This window comes from Homo sapiens, chromosome 12 (genome assembly GCF_000001405.40).
Source record: "Homo sapiens chromosome 12, GRCh38.p14 Primary Assembly".
In the NCBI taxonomy this organism is placed as follows: domain Eukaryota; kingdom Metazoa; phylum Chordata; class Mammalia; order Primates; family Hominidae; genus Homo; species Homo sapiens.
Window position 1 is genome coordinate 69,848,634 of NC_000012.12, and position 12,957 is coordinate 69,861,590.

Sequence of the window (12,957 nt, forward strand, 5' to 3'; positions counted from 1 at the left end):
AGTTGGTATTCTTTGATTTTATAAGTTTAAAATATATGTCATATGCAAATTATTTCCACCTTTCTGACATTCATAACTCTCTTCATTTTCTTGATTAAGTGGGATGCTAGTGCCTTTAGCAGTGTATTGTGTAATAACATGGTAACTAAAATACTTATTTTATTTCTAACATTAATGAAAATACAGTAGTTCTAATTTTCTAAATCATTAAACATGACACTGGCTCTTATTTGTTTTTGTTTTTGTTATTGATTATTGAGACAGATCTTGCTCTGTCACCCAGGCTGGAGTGCAGTGCTGTGATCTCGGCTCACTGCAACCTCTACCTCCCGGGTTCAAGTGATTTTCATGCCTCAGCCTCCCAAGTAGCTGGGACCACAGGTGCATGGCACCACACCCAGCTAATTTTTGTATTTTTAGTAGAGACAGGGTTTCACCATGTTTGCCAGGCTGGTTTCAAACTCCTGGGCTTAAGTGATCTGCCCATCTCAGCCTCCCAAAGTGCTGGAATTACAGGCGCGAGCCATTGCGCCCAGCCAACACTGGGTCTTATTTGATGTTAGTTTTCTATCATAAACATAATATATATGTGCATATGAATATATATAATCTTAAGGATGTATTCATTGGAATTGATGTTGAATGCCTTTTGGCATTAAGAAGGTCAAATACTATTTTACCTTTGATATATGAATTCTAGTATTGAGTCATCTTTGTGTTTCTTGATGATAAATTTTTCTTTTAATGTTGAATTTCATTTGACAGCATTTTATTTAGGATTTGAGTATACCATTCACAAATTATATTAGTCTATGGTTTTCTTTATGCATTTCATCTCTATCAGATTTTGGCATTCATTTTATGCTAGCTTCATGAAAATACTTTGGATACTTTTATTCTTTCTCTGTTTCACAATTGTGAAAATGGTAGAAGAGTTATATTGTTAAAGTTTTAACAGCATGATCCTTGATGTCATTGGAACCTTGCTTGTTTATGCAGGGGTAGGGTGATGGTTATGGTGAAATTTTTCTCTGTTTATTCCAGGGCTATTTGTCATTTCAGACTTTCTCTTTATTTTTGAGTTGATTTTGGCAATTTGATTTTTTAATTGTTTTAGAAAATCATTTTACCCAAAGTTGTATAAAATATTTTTCCAAAGTTTAAAATTAGGACTTGAAAATAATGATCAATTGCCCTCAATCCTATAATCTAACCAGTGTTAATGGTGGTGGGATGTTATTTCATCATCTCTCCATGAATATCTACAGATAGAAGGATATGTGGGTGGATGGATGGGTGATGTGGTTTGGCTCTGTGTCCCCACCCAAATCTCATCTTGTAGCTCCCATAATTCCCACGTGTTGTGGGAGGGACCTGGTGGGAGATGATTGAATCATAGGGGGAGGTCTTTCCTGTGCTGTTCTTGTGATAGTGAATGAATTTCATGAGACCTCATGATTTTAAAAATGGGAGTTTCCCTGCACAAGCTCTCTTGTCTTGTCTGACACCATGTGAAATGTGCCTTTCACCTTCCACCATGATTGTGAGACCTCCCTATCTATGTGGAATTGTAAGTCCAATAAACCTCTTCGTTTTGTAAATTGCCCAGTCTTGGGTGTGTCTTTATCTGTAGCATGAAAACAGACTAATACAATCAGTAGGTAGATAGATGGATAGAAATTATCATTATAAGAAATGATCTTATATGCACTATTTTAATAAAATATTAAATTTAATATAAAATATTAATTTTACTTGAATTTAACAGAATAAAAATAACTTGAAGGAAAACTAAAGGAATTACAGAATTTTAATTCTGAAAAAAGTAATTATTTATTGTTAAAACTATCAGTTCTAAAGGATTCTTCCAAGATTAAGGAAAGGGGATTTAGAAAATGACTAAAAAGTTGAAGAAGTTTTTTTAACCAAATGGTACAGGTTTAGGTAGTAAAGACGAATTCTGAGATATGAGTGGTGAGATAATTAGTATTACATCTCTTCCCACCTCCCATCTCCCTGCCTTCCAATTTTTGTTGATTATATTATTTTTTCTTTGTCAGGGTTTATTACTTTTCCATTTTGATCTGTAGCCAAAATCCCCTTAGAATTTCAGTCTAAATCCTATATTTACATGAATTCGCTCTTCATCCATGGTTGTTTTTCACCTCAGTTTCTGTATTCTTTGTTTTTTTTCTTGTGATTCATTCTTGATTGGCTGAATTTTATTGTTAAGGAGCTACTTTCAAGAGGGACTTAAAGGAGTCTTATACCCTCAACTTTTTCATTTTGGAATTGTCTATCTGTTGCCTTTATATTGGGAAAGAAATTCACCGCATACAAGATTTTGCAACCCACTTTTTTCTCTTGAGACATTGTAAAATTTATTACAATGGCTGCATAATATTTCATGGAATGGATCTTACTTATGTAATATTCTTGTCAAACATATACAATTTGAATTTAACCATAAGATAATAGGAGGCAAACTAAAACTGAGGGACATCCTATAAACAACTAGCCTGTACTTTTTGAAAAATCTAAAAAGACATGATAACCCAATGCATTATGTTATTCTGGATTAGATTCAGGACTGGAAAAAATTGTCTATAAATGCTTATTACCTGGATGATGGGATCTATACTTTAAATCTCAGCATCATGCAATATACTTATGGAACAAACTTGCACATGCACCCTTTATTTCTAAAATCAAAGTTGAAAGAAATAATTTTTGCTGAATACCGAGGCTTAAACCAAAACAGAACATATTTCAGTTTGTTTTTCATTTTTTGTATTAAAATACTTATGAACATCAAAACATGCTAAAACTATTGGGTAAAAATTTGATGAGAAACAGTATGTATGCAAAATCTCAAAGTATCTCCCCACAAATTATAAAAGGAGAGCTTTTACAGTGAGGAAAGCTGGCAGACAGTACTTTAACCAAGGAATCAACATTAACATCAGTCATAACAGAACATTATTATCCTTCTGATGTAAGGCACTGAGAAGGACATAATATCACTTACATAATATTTTATTTTGAGACAAGGTCTAGCTTTGTTGCCTAGGCTGAAGTGCAGTGGTGCGATCATGGCTCACTGTAGCCTCAACCTCCCGGGCTCAGAAGAACCACCCACCTTAGCCTCCTGAGAATCTGGGACTACAGACACACACCACCATCTTGGCTCATCTTTGGGGGAGTTTTTTGTAGACATGGGGTTTCGCTACGTTGCCCAGGCTGGTCTCCAACTCCTGAGTTCAAACAATCCACCTGCCTTGGCCTCCCAAAATGCTGGGATTACAGGCATGAGCTGTGGTACCCAGCTAGGATCAGAAATATTTAGACTATCGCTCTAGTCCTCTGCCTTAGCTATTGTATGACTTAATCTGAACTACTAGCTTTAAAGTCCACGAGTTCAAATTCTTGGGAGAAATAGTTGAATTGGTCACTGTCCAACCAATGGATTGGTTTTCCCTGATTCAGATGCCTGTAGAGGTTATGTATTACAATTATGGCTGCAGGAGACTATCTTTATAAGGGGAAATTCTCAGAAAACAAATATGTGGGGTTGGCAGGCATCCTAAATAATGTGTAGTAAGGTTTTTGCAATGTTGTCTTTCAGCCTAAGAACAATGTAGGTCTCTTCATTTATTCAAATCTTTTCTTAAGGCCTTTCATAGAGTTTTTAGTGAAACATTGTCTCTAAATATATATTTAGATATCTTATGCTTTTTGTTATTTTGGTTATTTTGAATAAAATCTTTTTTCCTAGTATATGTATCTGCATGATTGAATGGTTCTTATTTCTTTATATACAGCAATTAGTTTTCATATTTAATTTTAACCAACTACCTATTTATTTATTTATTTTAAATAAATAAATTTTGAGCTATTTTAAATAGCTCAAAGGCTTGCAGGCAGGCTGTTTATTTTTAATTTTTAATTTTTTTTTTTTTTTTTTTTAGTATTTATTGATCATTCTTGGGTGTTTCTCACAGAGGGGGATTTGGCAGGGTCATAGGACAATAGTGGAGGGAAGGTCAGCAGATAAACATGTGAACAAGGGTCTCTGGTTTTCCTAGGCAGAGGACCCTGCCGCCTTCCGCAGTGTTTGTGTCCCTGGGTACTTGAGATTAGGGAGTGGTGATGACTCTTAACGAGCGTGCTGCCTTCAAGCATCTGTTTAACAAAGCACATCTTGCACCGCCCTTAATCCATTTAACCCTGAGTTGACACAGCACATGTTTCAGAGAGCACGGGGTTGGGGGTAAGGTTATAGATTAACAGCATCCCAAGGCAGAAGAATTTTTCTTAGTACAGAACAAAATGGAGTCTCCTACGTCTACTTCTTTCTACACAGACACCGTAACATCTGATTTCTCTTTCTTTTCCCCACATTTCCCCCTTTTTCTGTTCGACAAAACCACCATCGTCATCATGGCCCGTTCTCAATGAGCTGTTGGGTACACCTCCCAGACGGGGTGGCGGCTGGGCAGAGGGGCTCCTCACTTCCCAGACGGGGCGGCTAGGCAGAGGCGCCCCCCATCTCCCGGACGGGGCAGCTGCCGGGCAGGGGCTGCCCCCTACCTCCCTCCCGGACGGGGCGGCTGGCCGGGCAGGGGCTGCCCCCCATCTCCTGGACAGGGCGGCTGCCGGGCAGAGACGCTCCTCACTTCCCGGACGGGGTGGCTGCTGGGCGGAGGGGCTCCTCACTTCCCAGATGAAGCGGCTGCCGGGCGGAGGGGCTCCTCACTTCTCAGACGGGGCGGCCGGGCAGAGACGCTCCTCACCTCCCAGACGGGGTGGTGGTCGGGCAGAGACACTCCTCAGTTCCCAGACGGAGTCGCGGCCAGGCAGAGGCGCGCCTCACATCCCAGACGGGGCGGCGGGGCAGAGGCGCTCCCCACATCTCAGACGACGGGCGGCCAGGCAGAGACGCTCCTCACTTCCCAGACGGGATGGCGGCTGGGAAGAGGCGCTCCTCACTTCCCAGACTGGGCGGCTGGGCAGAGGGGCTCCTCACATCCCAGACGATGGGCGGCCGGGCAGAGACGATCCTCACTTCCCAGACGGGGAGGCAGCCGGGAAGAGGCGCTCCTCACTTCCCAGACTGGGCGGCGGGGCAGAGGGGCTCCTCACATCCCAGACGATGGTTGGCCAGGCAGAGACGCTCCTCACTTCCCAGACGGGATCGCGGCCGGGAAGAGGCGCTCCTCATTTCCCAGACTGGGCGGTGGGGCAGAGGGGCTCCTCACATCCCAGACGATGGGCGGCCAGGCAGAGATGCTCCTCACTTCCCAGACGGGGTGGCGGCCGGGCAGAGGCTGCAATCTCGGCACTTTGGGAGGCCAAGGCAGGCGGCTGGGAGGTGGAGGTTGTAGTGAGCCGAGATCACGCCACTGCACTCCAGCCTGGGCAACATTGAGCACTGAGTTAGTGAGACTTCGTCTGCAATCCCGGCACCTCGGGAGGCCGAGGCGGGCAGATCACTCGCGGTCAGGAGCTGGAGACCAGTCCGGCCAACACGGGAAACCCCGTCTCCACCAAAAAATACAAAAACCAGTCAGGCGTGGCGGCGCGTGCCTGCAATCTCAGGCACTCGGCAGGCTGAGGCAGGAGAATCAGGCAGGGAGTTTGCAGTGAGCCGAGATGGCGGCAGCACAGTCCAGCCTCGGCTGGGCATCAGAGGGAGACCGTGGAGGGGGAGGGGGAGGGAGAGGGAGAGGGAGAGGGAGAGGGAGAGGATTTTTAATTTTTTTGTTTTTGAGATGGAGACTCACTCTGTCACCCTGGCTGGAGTGCAGTGGTGTGATCTCGGCTCACTGCAACCTTTGCCTCCTGGGTTCAAGGGATTCTCCTGCCTCAGCCTCCTGAGTAGCTGGGACTACAGGCACATGCCACCATGTCTGGCTAATTTTTTTGTATTCTTAGTAGAGACAGGGTTTCACTATGTTGATCAGGCTGGTCTTGAACTCCTGACCTCAAATGATTCACCTCCCTTGGCCTCCCAAAGTGCTGGGATTACACACGTGAGCCACTATGCCAGGCCAGCTTATTTTTAAGTTTTTAATTTTTATATATTTAGGAGTACAAGGACAGACTTCTTACATGCATATATGGCATACTGATAAAGTCTGGGCTTTTAGTGTACCCATCACCCGAAACCCCTATTTAATTTTCTGAATATTTCTGTTTATCAGTTGTATAGCGTCATGTTATCTGCAAATAAAAACAGTTTTGTCTTTTTTATAGTATGCAGCCCTATATTTTATTCTATAAAAATATCAACATATTTATTATAGTCAGTAAGAAACCAGTACATTTATTTTCATTTTGTAAACAAGGAAAAGGACAGAACTATTTTGCTACCTTTTGGCAGGTCTAAAGAAAGTGTGAAACAAGATATTGAATTTCTTGTTGAACTTAACTGGAAATAATTTGGCCTACCAACAAAACTGCCATCCATCCTTCCATCCATCCACCCATTGAATCAATGTTTACTTTGTGCCTCTTCCATGCTGTTGATCCTTGTGGATACAATAAGAAAGACACAGTCCCTGACCTTAAAGATTTGTCAGTGTTTTTAGCCATTGGCCATACTGAAATCTTCATGTTTCTCAAGATTTTCAATTTGCCTTTGCAGCTCAGGGAGCCAATGGTACTCTGGAGAACCCAGCCCTGGACACAAGTCTGTTGGAGGAATTTCTGGGCAATGACTTTGATTTGGGGGCCTTGTAAGTAATGAGAGCACTGCTCTCTAGTTGATGTTTAAAATATTATGAAATGATTAAATGAGCTAAGAAGTGTTCCCTCCTCTTCTGTTTTCCAAAATAACTTGGGTAGAGTTGACATTATTATGTCTATGGATCTTTGACAAATATCACCACTGCAGAATTTTCTTTGTGAGAAATTCCAGTCATTCCTCACCTCCACCCGCAAATTCAGTATATTTAATAGATATGGAGCTATTCAGGTTATCTATTGATAGTAATCAGCTTAGGCAGTTTGTGTCTTTCAATGAATTTGTCCATTTCAACTAAGTTGTCAAATTCATCAGCATAAAGTTCTTCGTATTCACTTATACTTTTAATGTCTGTAGGATCTATAGTGATGATTCATTTGTTGTTCTTGATGTCAGTAACTTGTCTTTTTTTTTTTCTTGGTTAATCTGACATGAAGTTTATCAGTTTTTTTAATCTCTCAAAGTACCAGCTTTTGGTTAAAGTTAAAATTCTTACTTTTTGTTTTCTATTTCATTGATTTCTGCTCTTATTTTCTGGTATTAATATAGGCACTCTGGCCTTTTTTATTTTTAATTTACATCTACTGAAGTTCAAATTTTTGTATAAATTTCTGAGTTTTGACAAGTTCATAGTAATATAACCACTACCATTATCATAACACACAACACTGAAAAATTTCCCTATGCCGTTCATTTGTGATCAGACTCACCATCTACACTGTCCCCTGGTAACCACTGGTCTGTTTTTTGTTGCTATGGTTTTGATTTATTTCAGAATGTGACATAAATGAAACCATACAGTATATAACACTTTCAGTCTGCCTCCTTTCATTTAGCATAATGTCTTTGATCAATATTTCATTCCTTCTTTGTTACAGAGAAAGATACCTTTAAGTGATTATAACAGCTTGTTTAGCCATTTATCTGTTCAAGGACATTTGAATTATTTCCAGTTTTGGCAATTGTAAATCATGCTTCTATAAATATTTATGTATGGGTTTTTGTGTGATCAATAGTTTAAATTTCTCTATGATAAATACTTAGGATAAGAACTGCTGGATCATGTTGTAAATGTAAGTTTAACTGTAAAAATATCCACATTTTTAGAGTGGTGGTACCACTTTGTGTTGTTAGCAATGCATGAGATATCCAATTGCTTCTCTTCATTGCCAATTCTTGGGTATTATGAGTTTAAAATTGTTTTTATTATAGCCATTCTAATTGGTTTGTAATGACATACCATGTATTAATGTGCATTTTTCTAATAACTAATGATGTTGAACATCATTTCATGTACTAGTTCACCATTTATACATTTTCTTTGGTGAAGTGTTAATTCAAATCTTTTGCCCATTTTTAAAAATTGAGTTTGTTTTCTTTAAGTTTAGAAAAATTTTTAGATATTCTGGATATAAAAAGTTTGTTAGATATGTTATTCATGAATATTTTCTCCAAGTTTGTCGTTTATGTTTTTATAATCTTAACAGTGTTTTTCTCAGAGCAAAAGTTTTAATTTTGATGATGTCCAATTTATTGAATTTTTCTTATATGACTTACGGTTTATAGCTAAGAAGTATAGACTTTACCTAATCCAAGTTCCCAAAGATTTTCTTTTAAAAGTTTTATAGTTTTATATTTAGGTCTATGATCCATTTTGATTTTTTTTTGTAAAAGGCTTGAGATACAGATTTATATTAGTTTCTTTGTATGTGGATGTCCAATTATCCTGGAATCATTTGTTAAATAACTTTCTTTCATTAAATTACCTTTGCACAGTTGTAAAAAATCAATTGACAAAATATATGTGGGTCTATTTCTAGACTCTTCATTCCTTTCCATTGATCTACGTGCCTATCATTTTGCCAACACAACATTATCTTGATTACTGTACATGATCTTTATTACTGTACACAGGCACTTTATTATAAGCCTTAAAATAATATAGTGTAAGTCCTCTGAATTTTTCTTCTGTTTCAATATTGTCTTGGTTATTCTAGTTTCTTTGACTTCCCACATAAACACTAGAATTAGCTTGTCAATATTTAAACAATTCTTCTGGGATTTTGATTAAAATTTTATTAAACCTAGTGATCTATCTAAGGAGACTTAACATTCTAACAAAATTGAGCCTTCCAATCTATGAACATGGTATATCTATTTATTGAGGGCTTCTTTGATTTCTTTCATCAGTGTTTTATAGTTTTCAACATAAAAATACTGCACATATTTTCCTAAATATTTCATGTTCTTCTTTGAACATCATGGTTTTTTTTCAATTTTTAGTTCCAATTATTCATCATTAGTATATGGAAATATTGATTTTCATATATTGGGTTTGTAATCTTAATTAAGTCATTTATTAGTTCTAATAACTTTTTAAAATATATATTTCTTGGGATATTCTATGTTGAAGGTCATGTCATCTGCAAATTGAGACAGTTGTATGTCTTTCTTTTCAAACTGTATATCTTTTGATACTTTCTTGCCTTGCTGAAGTAGGTAAGACCTGGGTATAGTATTGAATAAAGAAATAGTGAGACTAGACATATTTGCCTTGTCCATGACCTTGGAGGGGAAGCATTTAGTTTTTATCATTAAGTGTAATGTTAGTGATACTTTTTTTTTAACCATGCCCTTTATTTGCTTAAGGAGGTTCTCTTCCACTGTTAGTTTGCTGATAATTTTTATCATAAATGGATGTTGAATTTTGTCAATTTTTTTCTGTATTTATTGATTATATGTTTTTTCTTCCCATCTGTTAATATAATGGATTACTTTGCTTAGTTTTTGATTATTGAACTGCCTTGTATTCCTGGAATAAATCTCAGTTAATTGTGATATGTTATCTTTTGATACAATGCTGGATTCAATTTGGTAAAATTTTGTTGAGCATTTTGCATCTATGTTTATGAGAATATTGATCACAGTTTTGTTTTTTTATATTTTATTTTTTCTGGGTTTGGTATCACAGCAACTATACCCTTCTAAAATTCGTTGGGAAATTCCCTCACTTAAATTCTCTGGATGAGATAGTGTAGAATTGGATTTATTTCTTGCTTAAATGTTTGGTAGCATTAATCAGCAAAATAATCTGTTCCTTTGCTTTGTTGGAGGGTCTTAAATACAAATTTAATTTATTTAGTAGATTCAGGGCTATTTATGGTATCTCATTCTACTTAAGTGAGTTAGCTTGTTTTACTTTTTTCCCAAGGAATTGATCAATGTTATCTAAGTTGTTAAATTTATGGCCATAGAGTTATTCATAGTATTTTTTATTAACCTTTTAATCTCTAAAGAGTCTGTAGTGATATTCCCTCTTTTGTTCTTCATATTGGTAGTTTGTTTCTTTTTTTCTTTTCTCCTTAATCAATGTGGACGTTTATCAATTTTATTGATTGATTCAAATAGGTAGCTTTTGATGTCATTGATTTTCTCTATTATGTTTGTTTTCAATTTCACTGACTTCTACTCTTATCTTTATTATTTTGTTCCTTATGCTTAATTTGGGTTTAGTTTGCTCTTATTTTTCTAGTTCTTTAGAGTGGAAAGTGAGTTTGTGATTTGAGGTTAAACTTTGTTTTCTGATTTAAGCATTCAATGCTGTACATTTCCCTCTGTATGTGGCTTTAGCTGCCTCACTCAGTTTTTGATATACTATATATATATATTTTTTTCAGTTCAAAATACTTTCAAATTTCTTTTGAGAAATTTTATTTGACTTTCTTTGACTCATGGGTTGCTGGAAATGTATTATGTAACTTCCAAACGTTTGGAAATTTTCCATATATTTTTCTGTGACTGGTTTCTAGTTTAATTCCATTATGAACAGAGAACATCCTTTGTATGATTTCAAATTTTGTTAAGGTTTGCTTTATGACCCAGAATATGATCTATCTTGGTGAATGTTACGTATGCACTTGGAAGAATGCTCACTGTGCTGTTGTTGGATAGTATTCTATAAATATCAGTTAGGTCAAGTTGGTTGACATTCTTGTTCAGGTCTTCTATATCCTTGCTGATTGCTTTCTACTAATTTTATCTACGACAGTGACAGAAATGTTGAAGTCTTCAAGTGTGATTGTGGATGTTTCTACTTCTCCATCAGTTCTATTGGATTTTGTGAAAACATAATTGTATTGAATTGAAAAGTTATGTGGTTAAGTGCAAACACATTTAGTACTGTTTTGTCTTTCTGGTGAACTTAGTCTTTTATCAGAGTGATGTTCCTTTTTATCTCCTTTTTCTTTTCTCAAAAGAAGACATTTATGCAGCCAAAAAACACATGAAAAAATGCTCATCATCACTGGCCATCAGAGAAATGCAAATCAAAACCACAATGAGATACCATCTCACACCAGTTAGAATGGCAATCATTAAAAAGTCAGGAAACAACAGGTGCTGGAGAGGATGTGGAGAAACAGGAACACTTTTACACTGTTGGTAGGAACGTAAACTAGTTCATCCATTGTGGAAGTCAGTGTGGCAATTCCTCAGGCATCTAGGAAGTCTATTTGGTCCAATATTAATCTAGCCACTGCAGCTCTCTTTTTTTTTCTTTTCTTCAACTTTTATTTTAAGTTCAGAGGTACATATGCAGGATGTACAGACTTGTTACATAGATAAACGTGTGCCTAGGTGGTTTGCTGCAAGGATCATCCCATCACCTAGGTATTCAGCCCAGCATCCATTAGCTATTCTTCCTGATGCTCTCCATCTGCCCCCAACACCTGGGCCCCCCAACAGGCTCCAGTGTATGTTGTTCCCCCTTGTGTTCATGTGTTCTCATAATTCAGCTCCCACTTATAAGTGAGAATATGTGGTGTTTGGTTTTCCATTTCTGCATTAGTTTGCTGAGGATAATGACTTCCAACTCCATCCATGTCCCTGCAAAGGACATGATCTCATTCCTTTTTATGGTTTTATAGTATTCCATGGTGTATATTACCACACTTTCTTTATCCATTCTATCATTGATGGACATTTAGGTTGATTCCATGTTTTTGCTATTGTGAATAGTTTCGGCTCTCTTTTGATTAGTGTTTTTGTTATATATCTTTTGCCATCCTTTAATTGTAACCTATATATATCAAATTAGTTTTTTTATTCAGCGTATCATTGGGTATTTTTCCCTATCTAATTGGACAATTTCTGTCTCAACTTAGACAATTTATATTTAAATTAATTATTGATATGTTTGGATTTGAGTCTATCTTTTTCTTTTAAAAAATGTTCATCCCCTCTGCTTCTTGTACTTCTTTTCCCCCTTTCCTGCCCTCTTTTAAATTGTTTGAAGATTTTTAGTATTCCATCTTAATATATTGATTGCCTTTTAAACTCTTCATATAGATTTATTTTCTTTTTTTATTTTATTATTGTTATACTTTAAGTTTTAGGGCACATGTGCACAATGTGCAGGTTAGTTACATATGTATACATGTGCCATGCTGGTGTGCTGCCCCCATTAACTCATCATTTAGCATTAGGTATATCTCCTAAAGCTATCCCTCCCCCCTCCCCCCTCCCCCCACCCCACAACAGTCCCCAGAGTGTGATGTTCCCCTTCCTGTGTCCATGTGTTCTCATTGTTCAGTTCCCACCTATGAGCGAGAATATGCAGTGTTTGGTTTTTTGTTCTTGCGATAGTTTACTGAGAATGATGATTTCCAATTTCATCCATGTCCCTACAAAGGACATGAACTCATCATTTTTTATGGCTGCATAGTATTCCATGGTGTATATGTGCCACATTTTCTTAATCCAGTCTATCATTGTTGGACATTTGGGTTGGTTCCAAGTCTTTGCTATTGCGAATAGTGCCGCAATAAACATACATGTGCATGTGTCTTTATAGCAGCATGATTTATAGTCCTTTGGGTATATACCCAGTAATGGGATGGCTGGGTCAAATGGTATTTCTAGTTCTAGATCCCTGAGGAATTGCCACACTGACTTCCACAATGGATGAACTAGTTTACATTCCTACCAACAGTGTAAAAGTGTTCCTGTTTCTCCACATCCTCTCCAGCATCTGTTGTTTCCTGACTTTTTAATGATTGCCATTCTAACTGGTGTGAGATGGTATCTCATTGTGGTTTTGATTTGCACTTCTCTGATGGCCAGTGATGATGAGCATTTTTTCATGTGTGTTTTGGCTGCATAAATGTCTTCTTCTGAGAAGTGTCTGTTCGTGTCCTTTGCCCACTTTTTGATGG

The 12,957-nt window shown here is 37.5% G+C and overlaps 1 protein-coding gene across 1 annotated transcript in view; it reads left to right on the plus strand.

The window, feature by feature from the left end:
- MYRFL (myelin regulatory factor like) overlaps nt 1-12,957 on the plus strand; it is a 133,871-nt gene that overhangs the window by 23,407 nt on the left and 97,507 nt on the right. Inside the window, exon 2 of the mRNA NM_182530.3 lies at nt 6,647-6,737. Coding sequence (NP_872336.2) covers nt 6,647-6,737 — 91 coding nt within the window. The remainder of the gene's footprint in view (nt 1-6,646; nt 6,738-12,957) is intronic.